Source organism: Homo sapiens, chromosome 6 (assembly GCF_000001405.40).
Source record: "Homo sapiens chromosome 6, GRCh38.p14 Primary Assembly".
NCBI classification, from domain to species: Eukaryota; Metazoa; Chordata; class Mammalia; order Primates; family Hominidae; genus Homo; species Homo sapiens.
The window spans coordinates 84,078,123-84,105,829 of record NC_000006.12 but is presented as its reverse complement, the minus strand read 5'-3'; the positions used below and the strand labels follow the sequence as shown (position 1 = coordinate 84,105,829).

Sequence of the window (27,707 nt, the reverse complement as noted above, 5' to 3'; positions counted from 1 at the left end):
AGAGATAAAACAATGATTTCATTGACCTGAAAGTGAAGATTGCAATCCAGCTACTTTGGGCTCCTCATGCCTCTGAGTCAACAGACCAAGAAGGAAGTTATGATATTGCCTAGAGTGACTAATCCAGGCTGCCAAGGGGAAATTGGACTGCTACTCCACAATGGAGGTAGAGAACAGTAACTCTGGAATACAGAAGATCCCTTAGGGTGTCTCTTAGTACTACCATGCTGATATGGTTTGGCTGTGACCCCACCCAAACCTCATCTTGAATTCCCACATGTTTCGGGAGGGACCCAGTGGGAGGTAAGTGAATCATGGGGGCAAGTCTTTCCCATGCTGTTCTCATGATAGTGAATAAGTCTCATGAGATCTGATGGTTTTGAAAAGAGGAATTCCGCTGCACAAGCTCTCTCTCTCTTTGCCTGCTGTCATCCATGTAAGACATGACTTGCTCCTCCTTGCCTTCTGCCATGATTGTGAGGCTTCCCCAGCCACGTGGAACTGTAAGTCCAATTAAACCTCTTTCTTTTGTAAATTGCCCAGTCTCAGGCATGTCTTTATCAGCAGCATGAAAACAGAATACAATAAATTAGTACCTATAGAGTGGGGCATTGCTGAAAATATACCCAAAAATGTGGAAGCTACTTTAGAACTGGGTAACAAGCAGAGGTTGGAACAGTTTGGAGGACTCAGAAGAAGACAGGAAAATGTGGGAAAGCTTGGGACTCCCTAGAGACTTGTTGAATGGCTTTGATCAAAATTCTGATAATGATATGGACAATGAAATCCAGGCTGAGGTGGTCTCAGATGGAGATGAACTTGTTGGGAATTGGAGCAAAGGTGACTCTTATGTTTTAGCAAAGAGACTCGTGGCATTTTGCCTCTGCCCTAGAGATTGGTGGAACTTTGAACTTGAGACAGATGATTTAGGGTATCTGATGAAAGAAATTTCTTTTTTTTTTGAGACGGAGTCTTGCTCTGTAGCCCAGGCTGGAGGGCAGTGGTGTGATCTTGGCTCACTGCAAGCTCCGCCTCCTGGGTTCATGCCATTCTCCTGCCTCAGCCTCCCAAGTAGCTGGGACTACAGACGCCCACCACCATGCCTGGCTAATTTTTTGTATTTTTAGTAGAGACAGGGTTTCAGCATGTTGTCCAGGATGGTCTCGATCTCCTGACCTCGTGATCCACCCACCTTGGCCTCCCAAAGTGCTGGGATTACAGGCGTGAGCCACTGCGCCCAGCCGATGGAAGAAATTTCTAAGCAACAAAGCATTCAAGAGGTGACTTGGGTACTGTTACAGGCATTCAATTTTAAAAGGGAAACACAGCATAAAAGTTGTAAAAATTTGTAGCCTAACTATGCGATAGAAAAGAAAATCCCATTTTCTGAGGAGAAATTCAAGCCAGCTGCAGAGATTTGCATAATTAATGAGGAGCCGAATTTTTATCCCCAAGATAATGGGGAAAATATCTTCAGGGAACGTTGGAGGTCTTCATGACAGCCCCTTCCATCCCAGGCACAGAGGCCTAGGAGGAAAAGATGGTTTCGTGGGCAGGAACCAGAGTTCTTGTGCTGTGTGCAGCCTAGGGACTTGGTGCCCTGCATTCCAGCCACTCCAGCCATGGCTGAAAGTGGCCAATGTAGAGCTCGGCCTGTGGCTTCAGAGGATTCAAGCCCCAAGCCTTGGCACAGCTACCCAAATAATACAAATTGAGGGAAACCCTTTTCTTTCCCATGTATACCTGCTTTATAAGATTGTTGGAAGAATTAAGTTTGTTGAAGTACAGTATTAATTTGAGGGGAAATCTATAGGAGAAGAGGCATCAGGTTTCTTTAGTAGAATAAAATGAGTTGTAAATTCAAGTAAAACAAAAATGGAGTAGACTATAGAGGAGCAGACCAAACAAATGGAGAAGGTAATTATACAAGTTATGCATTCTTGGAGCACAAAAATGAAGTCAAGAACACAGCAGGAGCCTGACCAAGGATATTTAGTCTCAGTAAAGCGTACCCTGCACTTATGGTCATGGTACCAATGGTTCCTATCTAATGGTATTGGTATTACAATAACAAAACCCTTATGCAGATACAGAGGACAGATAATAGAAATAGAGCTACACAAGGTCTATGAAACTTCTTGGAGAAAAGTCTGGAATGGTTTTCTGAAAAGGATTTGTGAGGTACACACAAGTGAATTCATGAAGGAAAGAATTTGAATTATTTATAAAGGGCAAAATTGATCCTGCTTACTGGAGCAAACTGGGTGCAATAAAGCATCTTGGTCTTTCACCAGCTCTGGGCTGTCAGGGTAAGGAATCATACCTTTGCAATCTCATGTCTTCTTACCTATTTTGCTCATTATCAGGAATGAGTGAATGAAGCTGTAGCAAAAAAAGGGCAGGTGCTCACCCCCTGATTTGGAATCAGAGCCTTCACAGCAGTCCAGCCTCACACACAAAGTAGGGGCTCAGGAAATTAATCACCTTTGTCATCCCTTGATCTCCTTCCACAAATAAAGCACTCCCTCCCCTCAAATCCCCACAGATTTTATCTACCATCATGGCACAAATACCACTACTAGTGGGATAACAAGATAACATTGGATCTACGTTTCTACCCTTCCTCTTTCCTTGCTCATGAATGCCAACATCTGTTTCCAATTTCTGCCAGAATCTGTCCTCATTAAACTCAGCTGCCTACTCACTATGTTTCATCATCTCTATTCAGCCAGTTTTAAACTTTGAAGCATCCTTTACTTATCTTCTCCAACATGGAGTCATCAAACTTGTAGCCACTTTCTTCAAGATAATGTATATATTTGTCTGTCTACATTTTCATAGCTACCACCATTACTGAAGCTCTGTCATCATTTTACTTCTTGATTTTCTAGTAGGAGCTTAACTGATTCCTCTACTCCAATGCTCCCATCACTCCAAATAGTCTACAACAGCATTGACAGGTAGTTCTTCCTAAAAAATTGCTTGACACATTCCACCTGCCCACCTCACATTATTTTTTTTTTTAAGTTGTAAACATCAGAATCCTTGCCTTAATCACCGAGGTCCTCCTCACTCTGATCCCAGCCTTCCTATCCACACTCCATAACAGACCTCTAATGTCTTACATAAATCCTCCCTATATTAGTTTTCTATTGCTGTTGTAACAAGTTATAGCAAACATAATGACTTAAAACAACACAAGCTTATCGTCTTACAGTTCTGTAGGTCAAATGTCCAGCACAGTTCTTGTTGGGCTAAAATCAAGGTATCGGCAAGACTGTGCTCTTTTCTGGATGCTCTAGAAAAGAATCTGTTTTCTTGCCTTTTCCAGCTTCTGGAAACCACTCACATTCCTTGGCTTGTGCCTCCCTTCCTCCATCTTCATAGCCAGCAACTTTGCATCTCTCTGAGCCTTCTTCCATGGTCACATCTCCCTCAAGCTCTAACTCAGCTTCTCTGATTTTATGCCCCACTCATGTGATTAGATTGGGCCCACCTGGATAATGCAAGCTCATTTTCCAGTCTCCTCATCTCAAGGTCCTTAATCTGCAAAGGCCCTTTTGCCAATAAATAACATATTCACAGGCGGACATAGGTGGGTGAGTGGTGGGTAGCATTATTTTGTCTACAACACTCCCCTTCCTTCAAACCGCTCTATGAATTTTTTAACCATGCCACTCTGCTACCACCTTTGCTATGACTTCTTTCCATTTGACCATCTCACTCCTACTGCTTTATTTTTTCACCACACCAAGTTTTCCTGATCACATCCTTCTCTCAATGGAATATATATCCAAGATCTAATGTCTTATTATTATTCTCATTGTATACATGCACACACACTGACTTACACACATCCCCTGTGTGTTCAACTCTTTAATTCCCTGGGATATTCCAGAGCAATTAATTCCATGATGATGAAGATAATGATGATAATGACACAGGACTTTGATGGAATTTAAGAGAGAAGCATTGCAAAGCTTCCATAGAAATAGGCTTAAAGGCAAATGACTGCTATAGTATTTAATGGAATCAACTAATAATCATTTTTTGTTTTGATATCTCTGTATTTAATTTTTTAATATAAATTTTCTTTAACCACTAATCAAGTTTCTACTTTAGGATGAAATCTGAGAGCATTTCTATTTTCTAACAAATTATCTACTAGCTTTTAAACATATGATGCTTTAGTAAAGATTAGTGCTATGCTGCAAATAAACAGGATTCATATAATCTCACCAGGTGTAATCAATGTGGAAAGACTAAGGAAGAAAAACACAAAGCCAAATTCATAACTGTCCTGAAGCCTTAAACTGCTCACAGGGGAAACCATTACCCAAGGTGAGTGTCACACTTGCATAATGCCTGAGTGGGATGGGAAAGCTGATTTCCCTACTCATATAGTTATGCTGCTAACTTGTCAGATGCTAAAACAATTTCTGTATTGTATTTGTCCCTAATAAGTATGAAACAATTTAGGCCCTACAAAAAGCAGGCTACACGTATTCCCATGCTGCCAGATCACTAAGCTGAATTTCTTCCCTAAGAAGGACATAATTAAACTCCATGAAAATAATCTTCCTGAGAATAATAAGATAAAGGGCCAGTGTATATTCAGTAGGTCTGAGTTGATGTACTATTGCACTGCTAGCCAAAGATATCAATATCTTTAATGATGTGACATTCCTCCAAGAGTTCAAGGATGAAGGAGGATGTGAACAATGAATACATTAAGATGCAGCTGCATGTTACCATCATAAGTCAATTAGAGTATGTTTGGATATTTGGAAAATAATAATCCCATTATTCTTTGAAAGTACATTAGTGTCAATAGAAATAATAAAAGACTGAGAGATCTTGGAGACATCAAACAATAGAATAAACAATTGTAAATCTACTGGATGCCTTGACAATATGCAGGAAATGAGCTACATGTCTTCTGCAGGTCTCTCTTAATACAGGGCTCACTCCTGCAAAGTATAAAACTAGTTTTTCAAGCAGACAGATGGAACACACCAAGATTCCTGATCTTGAAAGGTTTACTGTGTGGCAGAAAAGATCAGACATGTACATATAGCCAAATGTGAATATATGCAATAAAAATGTTATGAAGTGTGAAGAGAGCACAGAGAAAGTAGAAATTTCTTTCTCCAGGGATCTAGAGCACATTTTTTGAAAAATATAGCTTTCAAGTTGTATCTTAAGAAATGAGTGGAATTTAGGGAGAACAGGGTGTAAGACAGGGAATTTAAAAACTGATTCTGGCCAGGCATGTTGGCTCACACCTGTAATTTCAGCACTTCAGGAGGCTGAAGCAGGTGGATTGCTTGAGCCCAGGAGTTCAAGACCAGCCTGGACAACATGGCGAAATGCTGTCTCTACAAAATACAAGAAAAAAATTAGGTAGGTGTGGTGGCAGGTGCCTGCAGTCTCAGCAACCCAGGAGGCTGAGGTGGGAAGATGGCTTGAGCCCAGGGAAGTTGAGGCTGCAGTGAGCCACGATTGTTCCACTGCATTCCAGCCTGGGTGACAGAGTGAGACCCTGTCTCAAAAACCAAATAAACAAATAAAAATAAAAATAAAAAACTGATTCTAAAATTCATATAGAAATGCAAAGGATGCCAAATAGTCAAAACAAAAATAAACAGGAAGAACAACATTAGAAGACTTGGCTGGGTATGGTGGCTCATGTCTGTATTCCCAGCACTTTGGGAGGCCAAGGCAAGTGGATCACTTGGGGCCAGGAGTTCGAGATCAGCCTGGCCAACATGGCAAAACCCCATCCCTACTAAAAATGTAAAAATTTGCTGGGCATGGGGGCATGCGCCTGTAATCCCAGCTCTCAGAAGGCTGAGGCGGGAGAATCGCTTGAACCCAAGAGGTGGAGTTTGCAATGAGCCAAGATCCCACCACTATACTCCCCTGGGGAACAGAGCAAGAATCTGTCTCAAATAAAAAAAAAAAAAAGAGAGAGAGAAGAAGAAGATATACACTATCTGTATTAATCCATTTGCATTAGTACAAAGGAATACCTGAGAGTAGGTAATTTATAAAGAAAGGAGGTTTGTTTGGCTCACAGTTAAGTTATTCAGGCTGCACAAGTGTGGCACCAGCATCTGCTCAGCTTCTGGTGAGGCCTCAGGGAGCTTTCACTCATGGAGAAGGCACAGGGGGAGCAGGTGCATCACATGCTGAGAGAGGGAGCAAGAAGGAGAGGAGGAGGTGCCAGGCTCCTTTAAATATCCAGCTCTCATGTGAACTCTTAGAGAACTCACTCATTACTGTGAGGACAGCCATTCATGAGGAATCTGCCCTGATGACCCAAACACCTTCCACTAGGCCCAACTCCAACATCGGAGGTTACATTTAAACATGAGATTTGGAGGGGGCAAATATCCAGACTATATTACTACTGATTTCAAGACTTCTAAAGCTATAATAAACAAGAAGTGTGGAATGAGTGTCAAACAGGTGAATAGAATGTCCAGAATTGTAAAAAAAATTTAAAAATAAAAAATAAATAAAGCCAACACATATATAGACAACTGATTTTCAGTAAAGTTGCAGAGGCAATACACTGGAGAAAAGATCTTTTCACCAAACCATGCTGGAACGATTAGATATCCATAAGCAAAAAAAAAAAAAAAAGAAAAGGATCTTTTTTGATCTCTCATTAAAAAGATCATGGTGATCTCACACCATGTTTAAGAAAAAAACTCAAAATGAATCACGAACCTTAATGAAAATCTGAAACTATAGAACTTCTAGAAAAAAAAAGCATAGGATTATACCTTTATGACCTTGGGTTTGGCAAAGATTTCTTTCATATGACACTAAAAGCATGATATCTATTAAAAAAATTATGGATTAGAGTTCACCAAAATGAAGAATTTCTGTCCTTTGAAGACACTGTTAAGGATATGAAAAGACAACCCACAAACTGAGAGAAACTATTTGCAGATCCTATATCTGATAAATAACTTATATTTACAGAATATAAAGAACTCTCAAAACAACAATAAAACAAATTCCCTAATAAAACAATGGGACAAAGACTTGAAAGGCACTTTGCTAAAGATATACTGATGAAAAATAAGCATATGAAAAAATGCTGAATACCATTAGAGAAATGCAATTGAAAAATGACATACTACTACACATGCATATTAGAATGAATACAATTTAAAAGACTGATGTTACAATATGTTGGAAAGGAAGTGGAGCAACCAGAATTCACATACACTATGAGAAAGTTAAAATCATACAACCATTTTGGAAAACTGTTTAGCAGTTTCTTAAAAAGACAAATGCCTACCTACCATATGACCCAGACATTCCTCTTCTAGGAACTTAAACAAGTAGAAGCACATGTTCACATGAAGACTTATAAATGAATATTTACAGCAAATATTCATAGAAAATATTTATTTACAATAGCCAAAATTATAAGTAACCCAAATATCCATCAACAAATAAATAGATAAGCAAATTATGGTATGTATAGCCACACAATGAAACACTACTCAGCAATGAAAAGAATGAACTATTGATACACACAACAACATGGACGAATCTCAAAATAATTACGCTGAATGAAAGAAGCCAGGCAAAACAGAGTATGTACTGCATGATTTCACTTATATAAATACCATGAAAATATGGACTGATCTGTTGTAATGCAAAGCAGATCTGTAGTTTCAGAGAAAGGGATGGGAGGGAGGGATTATAAAAGGGCATCATAATTTTTATGGATGATGGACATGTTTATTATCTTGATTGTGGTGATGGTTTCTTGACTGTATACTGTGTCAAAATGTATTAAATTGTGCACTTCAAATATGTAAAAATTATTTTGTCAATTATATCTCAAAGTTATTTTAAAAATGCAATTCAGTCCTGACCCACTTCAATGCCTGATTCGACTGAGATAATCAGCCTCTAGCCCTATCTACTTAACAGAGGAAAGAGGAATACATCTCTCATGGAAGATAATTTCCCATGTTGTATCAATGGATTTTTCATATACAATGTCTGCCAAATAATAAAAAATGTCTAGACATGTGAAATGTCAAGACCATATGATTAATAATATAAGAATAAGAAACATTAAACAATAGATGCAAATCCACAGATTATTTAGGCATTAGAGTTAGTAGAGTCTTTTTATAAAAACTATAAACTAATTAATTGCAATATTTTAAGAGCTTAGAGGAAATGATGGACAAAATAGATGAAAAGACAAAGATTTTCACCAGAGAAATATACTAAATACATTTTTAAGAAGGATCAAACAGGTATTCTAATACTGAATAAATAACATGTTTCCAGTTCTGGAAACACAGTGAACTGAGATAATTTGAATCCCTCTTAAATAAAACTTTTAGTAATGTTGGATAAAATACAACAACAAAAGTAATATAGAGCTAAGCATGAAGGAAAGTGAAGTTTCCAGGTGACAAAAATAAAGAGGAAACTTAAAGCCACAATCGTAAGCTTGTGAGCTGACAACACAGTGCCCTGAAAAGAGTGGGCTCGTATCTATTCAGGAAAAGGGCTCATCCCAGATGTAATGACTCTTGGCTTACTAAGACCACCCTGCCCTACCCCACCACACACACACATATAAAAGTTATTGGAAGGGCTGCTTCTGTGATGGGCAGGAGAGTAGGACATAGATCATGTAGAGCTTTCAGGTCATCATAAGGACTGTGGCTTTTTCACTGCATGAAATGGGAAGCCATTGAAGGATTTTGAACAGAGAAGTAACCCGACTTATGATATTTAAAGGATCACTTAGACCTCTCTGTTGAAAGTTCTCATAGTAGGCTTACAAAAATTAATTTAGGACAGGGGTAGCTTAGTGCCTAATAAATGTCACCTGTTATTGTTTGTAATGCATGCTGCTAGTGCCCACACAGGGTCCTTTACTAGCCAATGCCTGTTCCCAGCTGCTAGGGATGTTAACCAGCACCTTCTTCTCTCAAGAATTACCCTTGATCAAAGCAGAAGCCATCTTACCCTGACTGGCTTGGGGCAACAAAAGATCATGCCCCTGCCTCAGGATGGGACTGATTCTGTAGTGCAATTTGTGCCCCAGAACTTCCTGTGAGATCAGAATGTGGCCAGTCTGCAGCTGAGATGACATTCTTGGTGGCTTTTCCCCTGCTCTAACTGCTTCCATCATTCCCCTTCTTATAGCTCACCTACAATAAATCTTTTCAGGCTTTTATGGAACACAACCTATGACACTGTTGTTATCATAATTATCTCTGAATTTATTATTTCTTTAATGCAAGTCATTCGCATACATTTCACTTGAAGTCAAAGGCTGGTGCTTTCAAACTCACACTGGTAGGTCATAGGGTCTGTGGGTACTGTGTGGGCCAACTTGTACTACACTTACACTTGACACTATTCTGCTATCTAATGAGGTGTTTTTGGAATGAAGTCGAACAACATTTGTGTTAAATTTTTAACATTTGTCTTTATTAATTTTATCATAAATGTATACCCAAGGTTATCTGGGTAGGTTCAGATTCTCATTATTCATTTTAAAAGCCATCCATAACCACATGGTCCCTCACGTCCCAATTCTACCCCTGAAGTAACATTGCAAACTAGGTTAAAATCTCCTATACATACAACATCTGTATCCTAGACGAGGGATGGAGAAAAACAGAGTTTCTCTGTTTATATACAGGATAAAGAGGCAAAACATGAGGAAGAAAAAACTTTACTCCATAGAGAACAGGTGGAAAAGATCCTAGAAATGTAAATACCTCTCTCTCCAGTATGGATTTTATGAACTATGTTTCCTTAAAATGTACACACATTCTTCCCAAGGCAGGCGTATTTCTCTGGAGACCTCTCACTAGGTATACAGTTGCAGATGAACTTCCCAAGGATTGTTCTTAGCTGAGGATCCCAAGTTTTCTGCAAAATTTATTCAAAAGCTCCAACTCCATAGAAAGACAAGAATATTTTCTCTGTGCCACTCACACACATCTGCCTCGAGAATCAGCACAAGCTGCCAACTCAACACCTCTGATCACAGGCTGCCTGAAGTCGCCTCTCTCAATATATCTAAAAGCCTGGCCTAGACATAAAGACTTTCTATTTCTACTACACATCTTTTCTGGGTGACAGGATGGATTATTGTTCTACCAATAATAGACAATTTTTCAGTAGGTAATAAAATAGCTCACATACACAGTATATATTTTGGCAAAGTCTTGGCAGCTTTCAGAAGGGAAAAAATCCATTGAATTTAACCTGAGGTGGTTGTATATCTCTAAAAGAGAAATTCAGGCATTTAAAAAGTCACCTGCATTCTTTTCACAACTTCTTCAAAGTTGCCTCTTTTTCAAAAATCCCCAGTGACTTATGCAATATACTCTTTGATCATTTTAGGTTTGGGAGGCAGTTTCCAAAGGCCTCTCAGGTTTCTGCATGTAAAGTGAGCAGGGGAAAACTGACAGCCTTTGTCTCAGCTGTCTATTCAACAATGTTTGCAAAGTGAACAGCCTTGGAAGATGGAGATAGTGTCTCCCTCTGGAGCATAGAGCAGGTTTATTTACTATCCAGCATAACAAAGATAATATCTCCTTCTGAGGTAAAGGCCAGGGAGGTTTGCTTGCAACCCATTGTCAAAACACAGGGTTCCCCTAAGCTCAGGGTTCCTCAGCCATGATGCCAACCCACTGTGTGCACAGCATCTCCTTGAGCCCTTGCTTCTCCACACTGTGAGACCTGGAGGCAAGAGGAACTATATTAATTTCTATTGCTGTTGTAAAAAAACAAAACACAACTAAAAATGTGGAGTTGGCAATGGGCAGTGGCTGGTAGAATATTGAAGAACATGATATAAACTGACTAGATTGCCTTGAGTAGCCTGTTAGTAGGAATATGGATGTGAACAACTCTAAGTGAGGACTCAGAGGGAAGTGCTGAGCATGATAGAAAAAAAATTATCTGGCCAGGTGCGGTGGTGCGCACCTGTAGTCCCAGCTACTTGGGAGGCTGAGGCAGGAGAATCGTTTGAACCCAGGAGGCGGGGGTTGCAGTGAGCCGAGATCACGCCACTGCACTCCAGCCTGGCAACAGAGTGAGACTCCATGTCAAAAAAAAAAAATTATCTTATGAACTATCTAAATCATCATGAACAGACTATTGGTAGAAATATGGATACTAAAGGTACTGCAGATGAAAATTAAAATGGAAATGAGGAACATGTTATTGGAAACTGGAGAAAAGGAGATCCTTGTTACATAGCAGCAGAAAGCTTAGGTGAATTGTGCCCTGCAATTATGTAGAAAGCAAAATCTGTAAATAATAAAGTTGAATATTTAGCTGAGAGGATTTCCAAGCAAAATGTTAAAGATGAGGCCTGGTTTCTTCTTGCTACTGATAGTAAAATGCAAGAGGAAAGAAAAATGGAGGGAAGAACTTTAAGTGAAGAGGAATCAGGATTGATGATTTGGGAAATTCTCAGCCAATTATATTGCAAAAACACTAAAATTAGGAGATTCATCATCAGGAAAGCATGCTCTGGAGAGAAAGCCAAGGACTGTGACTAGGCAACCTTTGCTATTGTCTCAAAAGAAACAAAAAGAGTATTAAATCACACGGGGGGCTCTCTGAAAAAATTAGGAGTGTGACTCATGGATCATTTTATCCATTTAAGTACTAACTAGGAATAGAGATAGGGTTATTCAGGAGTGATCCACAGAAGAGCCTCTTGCCTAATGTAGTAAGTTTCTGTGATATATCCAGGAGACACCCTAGTTCTTGAAAATGTTATACCAGCAGAAACACTGCCAACTTTGAGACAGCCAGGCTGGTTCGTTTTCTGTTTTGGAGTGGTTTAGAGAAAAAGAACAAAAGCTCCTTACTCAAGTTGTAGCTTACCTAACTTCCAGCCAATCAGCAAAAGAAGATCCAAGAAGCTGTTAACCGCAAGTTCCTGCTTTAAGGGATTAGGGACTTCCCTGAGGCCCCATATGCATACTTAGACTTAAACTTCAACTCATAGCTACCCCTTCCTCATTTTAATGCTAAAAGTCACTAAGTCACTACCAGGGGTGGAGATTTAAAATGTATTGTGACATGTGATGTACAAAGAAGCATGTGAAGCCACTGCCCAAGCGCTAGAGAAACTCCTCCTATACATGCCCTGATAAAACACTTATCTATGGAAAGGCCCTGTAAAACTGACTCACATACTACCCTCAGGGAGCAGCCTGCCCTTTTCCTTGTGCAGTGCTGACTTCCTTGTGTACAAGCTAAAATAAAGCTTTCTCTTTCTCTTTGCTGTTATGTCTGGTGATCTGTATTTCCATCCTGGAAGATTACAAGAACCCAGGGTGCTGATTACATCTCATGGCACTCCAGATAGAACCCTCATTTTAGGGTCCTGTGGGAGCAAATGGCACAGCCCAGACGACAGAGATGGCTGACCAGGCACAAACCAAGGCAGCTGCACCATTGTTTCACCCTGGTGCCTCGGTGAGTCAAGTTCCTACATAGGATAAGTCCCCATTCCCTTTTTCTTTCTCTCTCTCTATTTTTCTTGCCCTATTCTCTCTCTTTCTCTTTGCTCCTATGTTTGGTGATCTCTCTTGATGTCTATACTGGAAGATTACAAGAACCCAGGGCACTGATAACAACTTCAACTGAAATGGACAGAGTGAGGGCAAGATAAATGAAGGCTATCAGACTCCCAAAATTCTACATGCAGAAAAAAAGGCTGATAAAACTACTCAGCTAAAAACACATTGTACCTTTCAAGAAAAAGAAAAGATGATTCCAAGAGTGGAGCTTCAGGCCCAGAGAATGTAGCCAGAAGTCACAAAAGACTATTTCCAGGCCTTGCAGCTTAACAGTTTTCCCAGTTTGAAGGATTTGTTATTTTGGGGACTGATGATTCATTTTTTCCTTCCATTTTCTCCTTTTTGGAATGGGAATACGGTTGATCCTTGAACAACATAGGGTTGAACTGCACGTGTCCACTTGTATGCAGATTTTTTTTCAACCAAATGGGGATTGAAAATACAGTATTCTTGGGATGCGAAACCCACCTATACGGAGAGCTAATTTTCATATACACGGGTTCTGCAGGACCTACTGTGGAACTTAAGTATGCTAGGATTTTGGTGTATACAGGGGGCCTGGAACCAATCCCCTGCATATACTGAAAGACAACTATTAGTAACTAGTATCTTATGTCGGTCACATCATTGTATTTTGGGAGAAAATAACTTATTTTCTAGTTTTACAGGTCCACAGATGGAGAGTTTTTCCCCAGGATGAATCATACCCAGGATCTCACTAATACTGAAATTAGATGGTTAAGATAATAAGATTTGGGACTTTTAAGCTGATAAGATTTAGGTAATACATGTGACTTTGAATTGATTCTATAATGAATTGAGACTGTGGAGTATATTGGGATGGGGTGTATGTATTGTGCATATAGAATGGATATAAACCTTTGGGGCCAAAGGGAAGACTAGCAGGCTAATGGTTCCCCAAGCATGTCCACATCCTAATCCCTGAAACCTGTCAATATGTAGCCTTATGTGGCAAAAGGCACACACTTTACAGATGTGATTAAATGAAGGATCTCAAGATGGGGAGATCATCTTAGGTAACCCAATGTAATCACAAAGGTCCTTATAAGAGAGAAGCAGGATGGTTAAAGACAGAGATGTAAAGTGGAAGAAGAGGAGCCACAGAGTGGGAGCAACCCCTGGAAGATAGAAAAGGCAAGAAAACTGATTAATCCTGAGAGCCTCCAGATGGAATGCTGCTGTGCTAACACCTTGATTTTAGCCCACTGAAACTGATTTTAGACTTGTCTACTCTAGAACTGGAAGAGAATAAATTTGTGTTGCTCTAAGTCACTAAATTTGTGGTAATTCGTTACAACAGCAGTAGGAAACAAACTCAGGAACCAACATGAGCATGAAGCATATGTGGCCTGCTGTGCTGTAATGAAGATTTTTGTCTCTGACCCAAGACTCTTGTGTCTTCTGGCAGCATCCATGAGACTATGGCAAGCTGATTTGCAGAAGGGGCAAAATCTTGGACCATTCACAGTTCTTAACATTTAGTTCATAAAAATGATGATATAGTCATGGGTATTTGTCTGACGTTTAAGTATCTTTCAATCTTCTGATCAATAAATCTACTTCTAAATAAGATACCACTTAAGTAGCTGTGAACTTTAATAATAGCCCATGATTTATATTTCATTAAATAAATTATGAATAATCATACTCATATTAGAAGTTAAACTCTGGCCAGGCATGGTGGCTCATACCTGCAATCCCAGCACTTTGGGAGGCCAAGGCAGGCAGATAACTTGAGGTCAGGAGTTCGAGACCAGCCTGGCCAACATATAGTGAAATCTCGTCTCTACTAAAAAATACAAAAATTAGCTAGGCGTGGTGGCACGTGCCTGTAGTCCCAGCAACTTGGGAAGCTGAGGCAGGAGAATCACTTGAACCCAGGAGGGGAGGCTGCAGTGAGCCATCCAGCCTGGGCGACAGAGCAAGACTCCGTCTCTCAAAAAAAAAAAAAAAAAAAAAAAGTTAACAAACTCAGCATTCTTTAATACTCTTGCTCTCTTGCATAAAAAATTCATGAAAATAGCATCTATTTATAAAAAATATGTTAAAGTAGCTTTAATTACAAAAAAATTCCATGCTTTGTTTTACTATTTAGAGTCTTAAAGAATGATATTTTCTTTAAAATACACAATAGAAAAGGGATTTCTTTTAGCGAAATAATCCCTAAATCTCATGCATGGCTCAGATCACCAGAATCCCAGAGATGGTACAGTCAGCACTGCCTACTCCAAGAAGTTAGGAGACATTATAAACATGGTACAACTTTTTGGGAAACAAAAAATTGGATGTGTGAAAATAAAGAACCAGAGGAAATTTCTGTGCAGTCAAATGCATTTATTTTGTAGCTTAAGCAAGACAGGTGGTGAACAAATTCATAATGAAAATGCCACCCAGAGGTTAACAGCTTGCCATGCATGCAACTGTGTGCGCAAAATCAAGTTGTTTTAATACCAGTGTGCAGCTTTGATTCCTCCATGAAATTAAAGCTGTGTTGCTCACTTGTTTACATAACTCAGGCCACCCTGAATATCTGCTAGTGGGGAATTTACAACCCACTGACCATCTCAGCTCAAAGCCAGATGACTATCACCTACACATCTGCCAAGGTAATAGCATGGCAAATAGTATTTTTCTTGTTCTGTAGCCAATGGCACAGATACACCAACACAGAGATACCCAGAAGGCACCTCCTCTCATTCAGCTGACAAGCTTCCTAACATTTCTTGGGGACAAGAGTACCATACATGTACTACGAATTGGTACTTATTCTGAGGCAGGGGATGGCTGTCTCCAGGTTAGAGCATGGGTGGTTGGAAGTTCTCAGAAGAGCTGTTTCAGCACAACCCACCAGAAACATTGGCCACCATGACTGTGTAAGATGAGTCTCCTGACATTCTGGTAGACAACCAGATCCCCTGACTAAAGCTTGGCTCAATTAGGGTTAAGTGGAAGGTACAGAGATTTGAGAGAGCCTACAAGAGATACGAGGCAGTACCCTAGTTTATACTGTTTTATGTATAGCTCAGCCTCATCTGAAGGCAAAGTCATAAATTCACAAAATATTAGAGGTGGGATGGATCACTCTAGACCTGTCAACCTACAGTTAAAAATGGGGCAGCCCAGAGAGGTAAAGCAACTCACCAAAGGTAGAGCATAGTAGTGGCAGGGCCAGATTAGAACATGGTAGGCTAATCCTCACCCAAGAATGCTGACAATAGGTATTTGGCCAAATTTTTCAACAAGCAAAACGAGCTAGTATAAATCAGAGGTGTCCAATCTTTTAGCTTCCCTGTGCCACACTGGAAGAAGAGTTGTCTTGGGCCACACATAAAGTACACTAACACTAACGATAGCTGACGAGCTTTAAAAAAAATAGCAAAAAAAAAAACAAAACTCATGTTTTAATAAAGTTTAAAATTTGTATTGGGCCACATTCAAAGCTGTCCTGGGACACATGCCACGGGTTGGACAAGCTTGGTGTAAATACTTTAATACTCCCAAAGCTCCAAATGTATTAAAAAGCAAAAACAAAACAAAACAAAAAACCACTCAGCTTAATCAGCTCAGCTCTCTTCTAAAGGGGTCTCTTCTCTGCCTCTCTGTCTCTATCTCTATGTCTCTCTCTCCCCCAAACACACACAATTTTGGTGGATGTAGATTTCTTGCTACATAAAGATAGAATCCACATCTTCAGGAAGACCCTTTACAGAGCATGTTTCTCAATCCAGGTCTTTGTGTGAGGTCTGGGAAAGTGGCTTAGTTTCCAGAACAATAGGTGGTTCAGAAATCAGAAGATCATCCTCCCCAAAGTAGTTCTGGTCTGTGTTCACAAAGTTGGGGATGTCAAACTTCATGAGCCTGTTCAGCTCCTCCTCTGGCTGCCCACTGCTTCTGATGGCTTCCTGGAGTTGGACGTCACTGTCAAGGGCTGTGGTCTGGTGACAAGCTTTGGCTCTGTCCAAGCGTTCCACCTCATTGATGTAGCAGTGAAAGAGAGACCTGGACTCCTCGTTGCCTTGGCGAGAAAATACTTTATCTGGCTCCAGAGGTCTTCCAAAGTCTGACACAAAGCTGTTCATTCTGAATCTCTTCTCTGAGGACTCTGCATTGCTATTTAAAAAAAGAAAATAAAAGACTGCTTACACTCCAGCCCATTCACCTGCAGAATCATGGTTTTCTGCACGTAGGGCAGGCCAGCACATTTCCACTAAGCACCTATTGAGTGTAAGCCCCTTGCATGGCATGCAGACAAACATGAGAAATAAGAGAAATCCCTTCTGAGTATGTACAGATAAACCCAAGGCAAAGGCTTCAAGATGAGGGCCCCCAGATCATCCCGAAAACAGACACCTTGCTGAGGAATTCCCCAATATTCTGCAGACACACCAGTATTTTTCAGTGGAATTCTTGGACCATTTGCATCATAATTACTTGAAGTGCCTCTTAAAATGCAGATTCCTGGGTCACAGACCCTCAGAATCTGTGAATGTAGGCTCAGTAATAAGCATTTTCATATATTCTCTAAGGATCATTACTCATACTGAAGTTTAGAACCACCGGCCTAAAAACAATAATACTGTCTCATAGGGGTACATTAAATATTTGCCAAAATGCTATAATATCCATTTTTCTCACTTGATTCTCAAAAGTAACCAATACAGTCAGTTAGGGCAAGAATTATGATGTGCATTTTACAAACGTATGAACTCAGGTAAGGAGCAGTCAAATTGCCCACTTAGTCACACAATCAGTTTGTGGTATGAGTGGGAATAAAACCCAGATTCCTAATTCCTTGTTTCCTTTAACGTGGAACAAATAAGCAGTTCAAGGGTAATAAATGAGTCAATGAGTGAATAAAATAACTCTCAATGAGTCCCACAAGTGCGTGAAAGAAAGAGCCCAGGTAAGCTGAGAACCTGATACTCCATCTACTTTAATCACCATCCTTTCCAGACTTAAAGAAGGATTGCCCATGCACAGGTAGTGACTCCTTAAAGGCACAAATCATGACTGAATGTGTTTTCAAGTCCAGAACAGAACCTGACAAAAATCAAGCCCTGGAGTTTGTGCTCAACAGATGTGTAATCCTCTCAGTGTTTCCAGTTCTTAAATCTCTTCCTTCCCATCCTATCACTCAGGAGAAAGCACTTATGACCAAATTCTGTAAGAATTTGGGCAGAGGTGAAAAACAAAAAAACAAAAACAAAAAAAACACAGGTCTGGAAAACCTGATTGTATATCACTAAACTCCAAATTATCAAAATCACCTGGATTTCAGAGGTCAGCAACCCTAGAAGGTTTGTAATCCAGCTAGCTGAAGGAATTTTAATATCAGATCTGTCTCCTAGCATGGTTACCTGGGTGACATCAAGCAAGAAATCCTTTCAGAAACCTGTATTTTTCCTTTTAATAATAAGCCAGGTTAACAATTTTCACTGCCCACTAAACAAACATGTTGTGAACGTCAAGGGTTTATGCAAGAATCCAATATTCTACTATGTCAGGTATTCAGAATTCAGAGAAAATCATTTTAGAGAGACTGAAGATTTATGCTTTAGTGCAAATTTACATGGTCTTCTTTGTCTTTCTGTAAATGAGTTTCCCTCAACTGTCATTTCTCTCAGGTTTAAAAGATATTTGAGAACAGGGATGAGTGTGCCAGCAACCTGTGACCTGATAAACTAAAATGTCACCTAGGAAAAAGAGTGGCTTAAAGCTGTGAAAGGAAAATATCTTGAACCCCCAAATCACTAAGCTAAAGGGAAAAGTCAAGCTGGGAGCTGCTTAGGGCAAACCTGCCTCCTATTCTATTCAAAGTCACCCCTCTGCTCACTGAGATAAATGCATATCTGATTGCCTCCTTTGGAGAGGTCAATCAGAAACTCAAAAGAATGCAACCATTGTCTCTTATCTACTTACGACCTGGAAGTCCCCTCCCTGCTTCGAGTAGTCCCGCCTTTCCAGACTGAACCAATGTTCATCTTACATATGTTGATCGATGTCTCATGTCTCCCTAAAATGGATAAAACCAAACTGTGCTGTAACCACCTTGGGCACATGTCTTCAGGACCTCCTGAGGCTGAGTCATGGGTGTGTGTCCTCAACCCTGGCAAAATAAACTTTCTAAATTAACTGAGACCTCTCTCGGATTTTGGGGGTTCACAAAGCATTTGGAGAAAGCATAATTAAGATTGCTGGGGTCCACACCATTCCTCAATTCCAAGGCTAAGAAGCTCTGAGAAATAGCTTTTCTGCCTACCTGTGGCACCAGCTGAGTGTGACAGCAGACCCAGAAGCCCAGCTGTGTGTGGCTGCTCTTCCATAACACAGCTATGTTTCCTGGAATTAAAGTCCATTAGTCACCCTTGCTGGAGAACTAAGGCACAAGAGACCAAGAGAATTTTGTCCCTCCCCAGGACAGTGCCAAGGCAGTGGACATTAAAGCCCCTCTGAGGTGCCTTTCCTGCCCCCTGAGGCTACCCTGTGCTCCCATGGCCACCCCCTCCCTTCTGGCTTCCTCCCGATGATCCCTTGGTATGGCAACAGTATGATGTGTCTGATTCTCCCTTCCTGAGAAGAGCAAAAAGTTCATCTTTGTACTCTTAGAGTCCAGTAAATATTAAACACTCAATATACTTGACTTTTATTTGTTTCTTCTTTCCTTGACTGATAAACAAAAGGACCTGTATGTTGTGAAAGTTGTCAGAATAAATATGGAGTCACTTAATGTTATTAAAAAATATCCTGATGAATAGAGCTGGGGAAGGCCATGAAGTGGGAATTCTCACTCACAAATGTCTGATAACAAGAACAATCATGAAAGATGGCAAAAACCATAACCTTGCACAAAAAAATACTTCTATAAGGACATCTGCCCAGCAACTGCCTGTCCAACCTGGAACTGGCACCACCCATATTGTTCCTTGTAGCTAAGGATAACTCTCTCCAAACAATCATGTAATCCTCCTTACTTTTCCTTTAAAAAACTTTGTCTTCTTTTACTTCCCAGAATATGCACATAAGTTATATGGCATGAGTATTTTCATTGCAATGACCCATTACCATGTAAACATCATTTTCTTTTAGAGAACCTCTCAGTATTTGTTATTTAGGTTGACATAAATGGTCTCCAGAAGCGGAACCTGAAGCAAGATCACTTTTGGAAGGAATCAGTGATTCTTGGAACCTGCAGGCTGTGCTCACCTTGAGCCCTTTGAGCTCTCTGCCTCCATGGCTCACCTGTTCTTCCCTGGTGAGTCTTCACTCAGGCTAAGCCCCTTCTTCCTGATAGAGGCTTTTTGACTTTATCTGAGATTTGGTTTGGTTATCAGCCTACCTTAAATGAAGAATGCTGCATCTCTCTTGGAACTATAAAATTCTGTTTTTGGCAAGCTCTTCCTGAGAAGTGTCCTTGTGGAGAGTACTCCGGTTTCTACAACATTTACAATCTGTCTTGGAGACATGTCTTTTCTGGTGAGTTCATTTTTGGTTCTTTCTGCATGCCTAGTTTAATATTTTGTTTGATCTGCATGCCTGGGTTAAAATTTCTGTGAACAATCCGATTTGGGTTTGGTTATGCATGTGTGTAAATGATTTGGCTCTTCCCCTTTGCTTGTTTCTGAAAATCTTTCAAGAGCAAAAATAAACATCCTAAGTGGTGGATGCAGGATGGCTAATTAAAAGCCACTATGTTGGTTGCCACTGTGTAAGACACCAGTCTAAACTCCTGACATTTTCCTGACAAGATTTAAAGAATTTTCTTTACACACCAGTACAAACTCCTGACGGTCCCATGACATGATTTATGGGATTTTCTTTGCTTTTAAGAAATTAATAAGAAATGAAGGGGCCGGGCGCGGTGTCTCACGCCTGTAATCCCAGCACTTTGGGAGGCCGAGAAGGGCGGATCACGAGGTCAGGAGATCGAGACCATCCTGGCCAACACGGTGAAACCCCTTCTCTACTAAAAATACAAAAACTTAGCCAGGCACAGTGGCGGGTGCCTGTAGTCCCAGCTACTTGGGAGGCTGAGGCAGGAGAATGGCGTGAACCTGGGAGGTGGAGCTTGCAGTGAGCCGAGATCGCGCCACTGCACTCCAGCCTGGGGACAGAGTGAGACTCTGTCTCAAAAAAATAAAAAAATGATGAGTTAATGGGTGCAACACACCAACATGGCACATGTATACATATATAACAAACCTGCAGGTTGTGCACATGTACCCTAAAACTTAAAGTATAATAAAATAAAATAAAATAAAATAAAATAAAGTAAAATAAAATAAATAAATAAAATAAAATAAAATAAAATAAAATAAAATAAAATAAAATAAAATAAAATAAAGAAATGAAATGAGATTCTCAAATACCAAGGCATGCCTGGTCTTCTGGGACTCCAGCTGGCCACATGGCTTTTCCTGGTGCACACAAACTCAATGGGCATCATGGAGATCATTCAAACTCCCCAAGCCTGTTTATCTTAGAGATGAAATAGAAACTGCAAATATAGAGTTAATACATAGAGCCTTCTAGGCTCTCTCTCCTCTATTTTATTTTTCTGCCTATTTTGAATCTGCAGACTTTTCTGCTGGTGTTAAGACAAACTCACTGCTTATGGCATTCCAGTCAAAATGCAAAAAACTTAACAGCTTTACAGATTACAACAGGTTCATGAAAACCAACAATTTAGACACCTTTGGAAATGTAAATCTAGGTTTGTCTGACTAAAAAGTGCTTTGGGTAATGGAACACTTAATTAAAGGATTGGTATTTTAAAAGCAAATAACTACATAAATGTTCATAAAAGTTAGCCTCTCAGATCAAACAAGTCAAAATCTTGAGCTCAGAGGAATACTATATCTTTGTCTGACATAAAAATTGCTTTATCTACTACGGAGGGACTAGAAAAAGCTGGAAAAAAAACCTGTTAAAATGCTTCCTCACCCACATTGACTAGTCAAGCAAACCAGACCAGCAAACAAAAGATAGATTTGTTACTAAAAATTCAAGGCCATTTGAAGATTTTATTTTTCTTATACAATTTAGCCAGTCCTGGCTAAAATATAAATATTAAAAATATACCCTAAACTCATTTGAAACTGAAATAAAGGATGAGAGGTTTATTATTATTATTATCAAACTGCTATGAAAATTTCCTTATCCAAAATTTTAGTTCACAGCCTTAATAAGATTATCTATTGGGGCAAATAAACATTAGCCATGTGAACAGGTCCCATTTGTCAGAAATATAATTTGAGTTCAACTGTCCTTTTACAAACTGAGTTTGTATTACTATGTTACACTGTCTCATGACTAAAATATCCAGACGAAAGCGAGAGAATCTGCTTCTATGTATTTGTGTTGTCTGTATGTTTTAATGTTGTGTGTGTATAATATTTTTCTACTAAAATATATTAAAGAGATCTGATTAATAAATTTAAAAGGGAAGAAAAGCACTTAAATTGAGTACTGTAACAAAAATATAGTAACTAACCCACGTGTTTTTAGTTCACATTACTTAAATAATTTTTTGATAAATAAGCTGGTTTTAAGTTTGTTGACAAAATAAAAATAGAGAGGTCTTCAAAATTGTCAGCATACAATTTTGCCCGGGTTTACTGTTCATCAAGATTGTACTAGATGTTTTAAGGTGATAAAATTATAAACTCACCCTAAAAACAGAATAAATTTGTTTCTGTAATTCTTTGATATGTAAGACTAATTTCATATTGTTGGCTTAATAAAAGCAGCTGTATCTTCTGAGTTATTGGCAAAATACCCATATATTTAACTTTAAGATTCTTACTTAGGTGAACACCTGATATTCACAGGCTATAAAAATGATCAAAAGGGAAATAACTTAAAATGATGACTAGCTTTGTCTAATATCTCAGTTTCTATGAGTAATCCAGGTATAATTGTTAAAAGTAAACAGGCCAGGCATGGTGGCTGTTGGGAATAACGCTCAAAATCCTAAGGAGATTGAACACTCAAACAAGGGATTTTTAGCAAAAGCAATTTTACTTTTGTGTAGAGGGATTTTTGTTTGTTTGTTTTTTTGCCAGTCGCCATGAGAGCACACTTGAACAAAGGGGCATGAAAGCCTTTATTTCTGACGCAAGTCCTGTCTCTGTACTCTTTTTCTATTGGCCGGGGTCGGGTCGCACAATCTGAATTAATCTCGGTTGGTTAGACATTTGAACTTTTTTTAGATAAGGTGGGCACGTAAGGGAGAGAGGGGAAAAGGGGAAGGGGTGTCTGTGATGAGCTAGAGGGCTAGTCTTTTTTTTAAATAAGGAAAGGAATGTGAGCTCGTACTGATAAGCCTGGTACTGTGGCATGTCCTAGCATGTAACAAAGGCAGAAAGGAAAAAAAGACAAAAAGGAGAAAGGGGTGGGGGAGTGGGTACTATGAATTAAAGAATAAAGGATTGATCAAGCTATTTGAAGAGAAACCTCATCATATCTCACAGTGGCTCACGTCTGTGATCTCAGCACTGTGGAAGGCCGAGGCAGGAGGATTATTTGAGCTCTGAAGTTCGAGATCAGCCTGGGCAACATGGCAAAAGCCCTTCTCTACTGGTAAGCAGGAGAGAGAGACATGGAGGAAGTTATAAGTAAGAAGATGCACTTTCGGTAAGGAAGGTTAAAAAGAAAAGAGAATAATTTCGTATAAGAAAGAATCTGTGTAGTAAATTTTTGTTCTAAAGTAAAATGACTGGTCATTTAAGAAAGAGGAAGAATGGGACAAAACTAAAGGCTTAAGCATGTTACTGAAGATTTGAGCAGGTCATGAAAGGTTCATGAAGGCTATAATTAGATGGGAATTATCTATAAGCCTTTGCTAAAGATTGAGCTTTAATATTAAAAGTATACTAATACGAGAGAGAAAAAGTTATATTTCTAAAGAAAAACTACAACACTCTTGTTATTAGGTTTTTAGCCCTGTGCATTATTTTCAAGTTCTTGTTATCTGCCTATAGAATAGACTGGATCCTGAATTATTCTAGATTCTTTCAATCCAACTCTCTACCATAGAATTACTAAAAATGCAAACTGTTCTATTTCTGAAGCCCTATAACCTTAAACTTGGTGAATTTTAAGGGACAAGTCTAATGTCTAATGTATGGGTCACACAGAGAGTTCACCAAAGCACCTGTATTAATCTGTTTTCACACTGCTATAAAGAACTACCTGAGTCTGGGTAATTTATAAAGAAAAGAGGTTTAATTGACACATAGTTCTGCATGGCTAGGGAGGTCTCAGGAAACTTACAATTTTAGTGGAAGGCAGAGGGAAAGCAAGGCACATCTTACATGGCAGCAAGACAGGGGGAACCCACCACATACTTTTATTTATTTATTCATTCATTCATTCATTCATTTTTAAGATGGAGTCTTGTTATGTCACCCAAGCTGGAGTGCAGTGGCTTGATCTTGGCTCACTGCAACCTCTGCCTCCCAGTTTAAGTGATCCTCCTGCCGCAGCCTCCCAAGTAACTAGGATTACAAGCATGTGTCACCACCCTCGGCTAATTTTTGTATTTTTAGTAGAGACAGGATTTCACCATGTTGGCCATGCTGGCCTTGAACTCCTGACCTCAAATTATCCATCTGCTTCGGCCTCCCAAACTGCTGGGATTATAGGCATGAGCCACTGTGCCCAGCCAAGGAATCACCACAGACTTTTAGGCCATCACATCTTGTGAGAACTCACTATCACAAGAATAGCACAGGGGAAACTGCCCCCATGATCCAATCACCTCCTACCAGGTTCCTCCCATGACAATGACACATGGGGATTACAACTTGAGATGAGATATGGGTAGGGACACAGAATCAAAACATACCGACACCTTATGCCATAAACAGTCACATTCAAACTGCAAACCAGGATGAGAAGTTGACAGCTTCATGCAGTAGACAGTTTTTCCCAAGACATCAGAAAAAGACTCCATATCATAATGAGACTTTGACCCCTCTTAATGCCTACCTTTTTCATTTGACAGGATAATGGTGCACTTGAAATTTCACAATCAATACGTTTTGCTGGTAACTTTAAAAAACCTGACCTAAGAGATCCTTTAGTGCACCCAATGGGTGACTTTGTCAACATCCCTAATACAACTGTTGTTCTCTGTCTGCTCTACTTTAATTCAACCCACCCATGGGATGCCATGTAATAAAATTGCTCTATATTATCTATTGTTTAAGTAAATAAATATATGTGCTATTGCTAATACTACATACTGTACCTAGATATATTCCTCTGGGAAAATTAAGACCCATATATACAAAATAAGAAAACAGGTCACATAGTTACAACAAGTCTCACCTAATCCCCTGTGTTCATTTGATTTATTAATTGGTTGCCTTTAAGCCCAGGTTCATGCCTCAAAACTGTTAGGCAAACTGAGATTATCATATTACTATTAATTTTACTTTCTACTTTTGTTTGTAAACTTTGTACCTGTTACTTGTTAAAATTCTTCAGAAGTACAACTCCTAACAGAATAATGCTGGACCAGCACTTTGAAGTGATAGCCAACACCTACAAAACAGACAAAATTGAACTTAAATATGGACTTCAGGTAGACTTAGCCTGAGAGCCACTCCCTCCAAACTACCTTTGTTGCTCAAATGTGGCTAAAAGGCTTTTGACACTGATTCCTAGTCACCAATAACTTCCCTCTAATGTAGGACTAGATTAAACCAAACCAGTACAGGTAAATCCCAGAACCAAGGGACAATCAAAATTTAACTACGGGATGATTCATCAGTGATGACTTTTGAGAAAGAGCTTCAGCAAAAGAGGGAAATGTGAAAGTTGTCAGAATCAAAATGAAGTCACTTATGTTAAAAACCCTGGCAATAGGGCGTGGTGGCTCACACCTGTAATCCCAGCACTTTGGGAGGCTGAGGCGGGCGGATCACGAAGTCAGGAGATCCAGACCATCCTGGCTAAAATGGTGAAACCCCGTCTCTATTAAAAATACAAAAAATAATTAGCCGGGTGTGGTGGCAGGCACCTGTAATCCCAGCTACTTGGGAGGCTGAGGCAGAAGAATGGCGTGAACCCGGGAGGCGGAGCTTGTGGTGAGCAAAGACCATGCCACTGCACTCCAGCCTGGGTGACCAAGCAAGATTCCATCTCAAAAGAAAAATCAAACAAACAAAAAAAAAACCCTGGCAATAGAGCTGGGGAAGGTTATGAAACGAGGGTCCTCATGCATGAGTGCCTGTTAATAAGAATCATCACAAAAGACTCTGCAAAAGCCATAATCTTGCACAAAGGCCATCTCAGTCTTACAACAAAAAAATACTTCTACAAGGACATCTACCCAGCAACTATCTGTCCAATCTTGACTGATGCCACCTTTGTTATTAACCCTTGTAGCCAAGGATAATTATCTTGAAATAATTGTGTAATCCTCCTCACTTTTCCTTTCAATATCTTTATCTTCCTTTACCTCCTAGAATACACACATAGTTTACTATGACATGAGTATTCCCACTGCAGTGCCCTATTACCAAATAAATATCATTTTCTTTCAGAGAGCCTCTGTTTGTTAATTTGGGTTGACAATGTGAAAAACTCATCGTGGACACCACTTGCTTCAATTCAGTTACCATTCTTATCATCAATGGGTAAAGTTTACATACCATATATGTCAATGTGAAATGCATAAACCTTAAGTACAAAATATGATGAATTTTAATTAATGAACACACCCATGTAACTACCACCCCAATCAACATAAAGGACATTTATTTCCTTCATTCCAGAAAGTTTTATTCCATTCAATTTCTACCCCCTTTAGGTAACACTGCTCTGATTTCTATTTCCACAGACTAGGTTAGCCTGTTCTTGAAATTTATATAAATGGAATCATATGATATATGGCCTTTTGTGCTTGGGTTCTTTTGCTCAATGTTTTTGAGATTTAGCTATATTGTTGCATATGACAATAGTTTGTCCTTTTTCTTACTAATGCCCATTGTATGAACATACTACAATCTATTTATTCATTCTCCTGCTGAAGGACATTTGGGTTGTTTCTAGCTTGGGACTATGTGAGTAAAGCTACTTTGAACGTTGTTGAAAAGTCTCTTTGTGGATATGTTTCTACTGCTCTTGAATAAATACCTAAGAATAGAATTGAGTCATGTAGTGGATCTATGCTTAACTTTATGAGAAACTGCAAAGGGTTTTCCAAAGTAGTTGTACCATTTTACACTCCACCACAATGTGTGAGAATTAGTTTTTCCACCTCTGTTGTAGTCCGTTTCATGTTGCTATAAAAGCATACCTGAGACTGAGTAGTTTACAAATAAAAGAAGTTTATGTAGCTGAGAAGTTCAAGGGTATGCCCCTGGCTTCTGGTTAGGGCTTTCATGCTGCATCACAACACTACAAAGAAGGTCAAAGGAGAAGCAGACCCATAAAAAGGAAGGAAAATCTGAGGAGTGTCCTGGCATTATAGCAGCCTACTCTTGAGGGAACTAATCCATTCCCAAGAGAGCTAATCCAGTCTTGAGAAAGCAAGAACTCACTACTGTGAGAATAGCACCAAGCCATTCACAAGGGATCCACCCCTATAACCCAAACACCTCCCATTAGGCCCCACCTCCCAAAACTGCCACACGGGATCAAATTTCAACATGAGCTTTGGTGGGGGCAAACAAGCTATCCAAGCCATAGCAACCTGCTTCCCAACATTTGGTGTTGTCAATCATGTTAATGTTAGACATTCCAATGGGAGTGAAATGACATTTCACTGTGACTTTAATGTGCATTTCTCTGATGTGTAATAACATCTAAGCATCTCTTACTGTGCTTATTGGCTATTGGTTTATCTTCTTTTGTGAAGCATCTGTAGGAGTCTATTTAAAAACTGAGTTATTTGGTTTTTGTTCTTGACTTGTGGAAGTTTTATAATATATGCGGAATATGAGTTCTTTGTCAGTTATGTGTATTGCATATATTTTCTCTTGATCTGTGACTTGGCATTTTCATTTTCTCAAAGGTGTCTTTTGATGAGCAGGGGTTTTAATCAGTTGTTTATCAATTTTTTTCCTTTAT

General features: G+C 39.5%; 1 protein-coding gene across 9 annotated transcripts in view; it reads right to left on the bottom strand.

Moving 5' to 3' along the window:
• The window catches only part of MRAP2 (melanocortin 2 receptor accessory protein 2), a 113,105-nt gene that overhangs the window by 40,453 nt on the left and 44,945 nt on the right, over positions 1-27,707 (bottom strand). For 6 of the 9 annotated variants that reach the window (XM_017010220.2, NM_001346542.2, NM_138409.4 and 3 more), the window contains one exon: positions 14,949-16,739. The exons of 1 other annotated variant lie outside the window; for it this stretch is intronic. In XM_017010220.2, coding sequence (XP_016865709.1) covers positions 16,349-16,739 — 391 coding nt within the window. In that variant the 3' untranslated portion in view covers positions 14,949-16,348. Of the gene's footprint in view, positions 1-14,948; positions 16,740-18,548; positions 18,643-18,888; positions 18,969-27,707 lie in introns of those variants that run through there. 2 more of the 9 variants (XM_047418132.1, NM_001346543.2) reach the window with 2 other exon arrangements.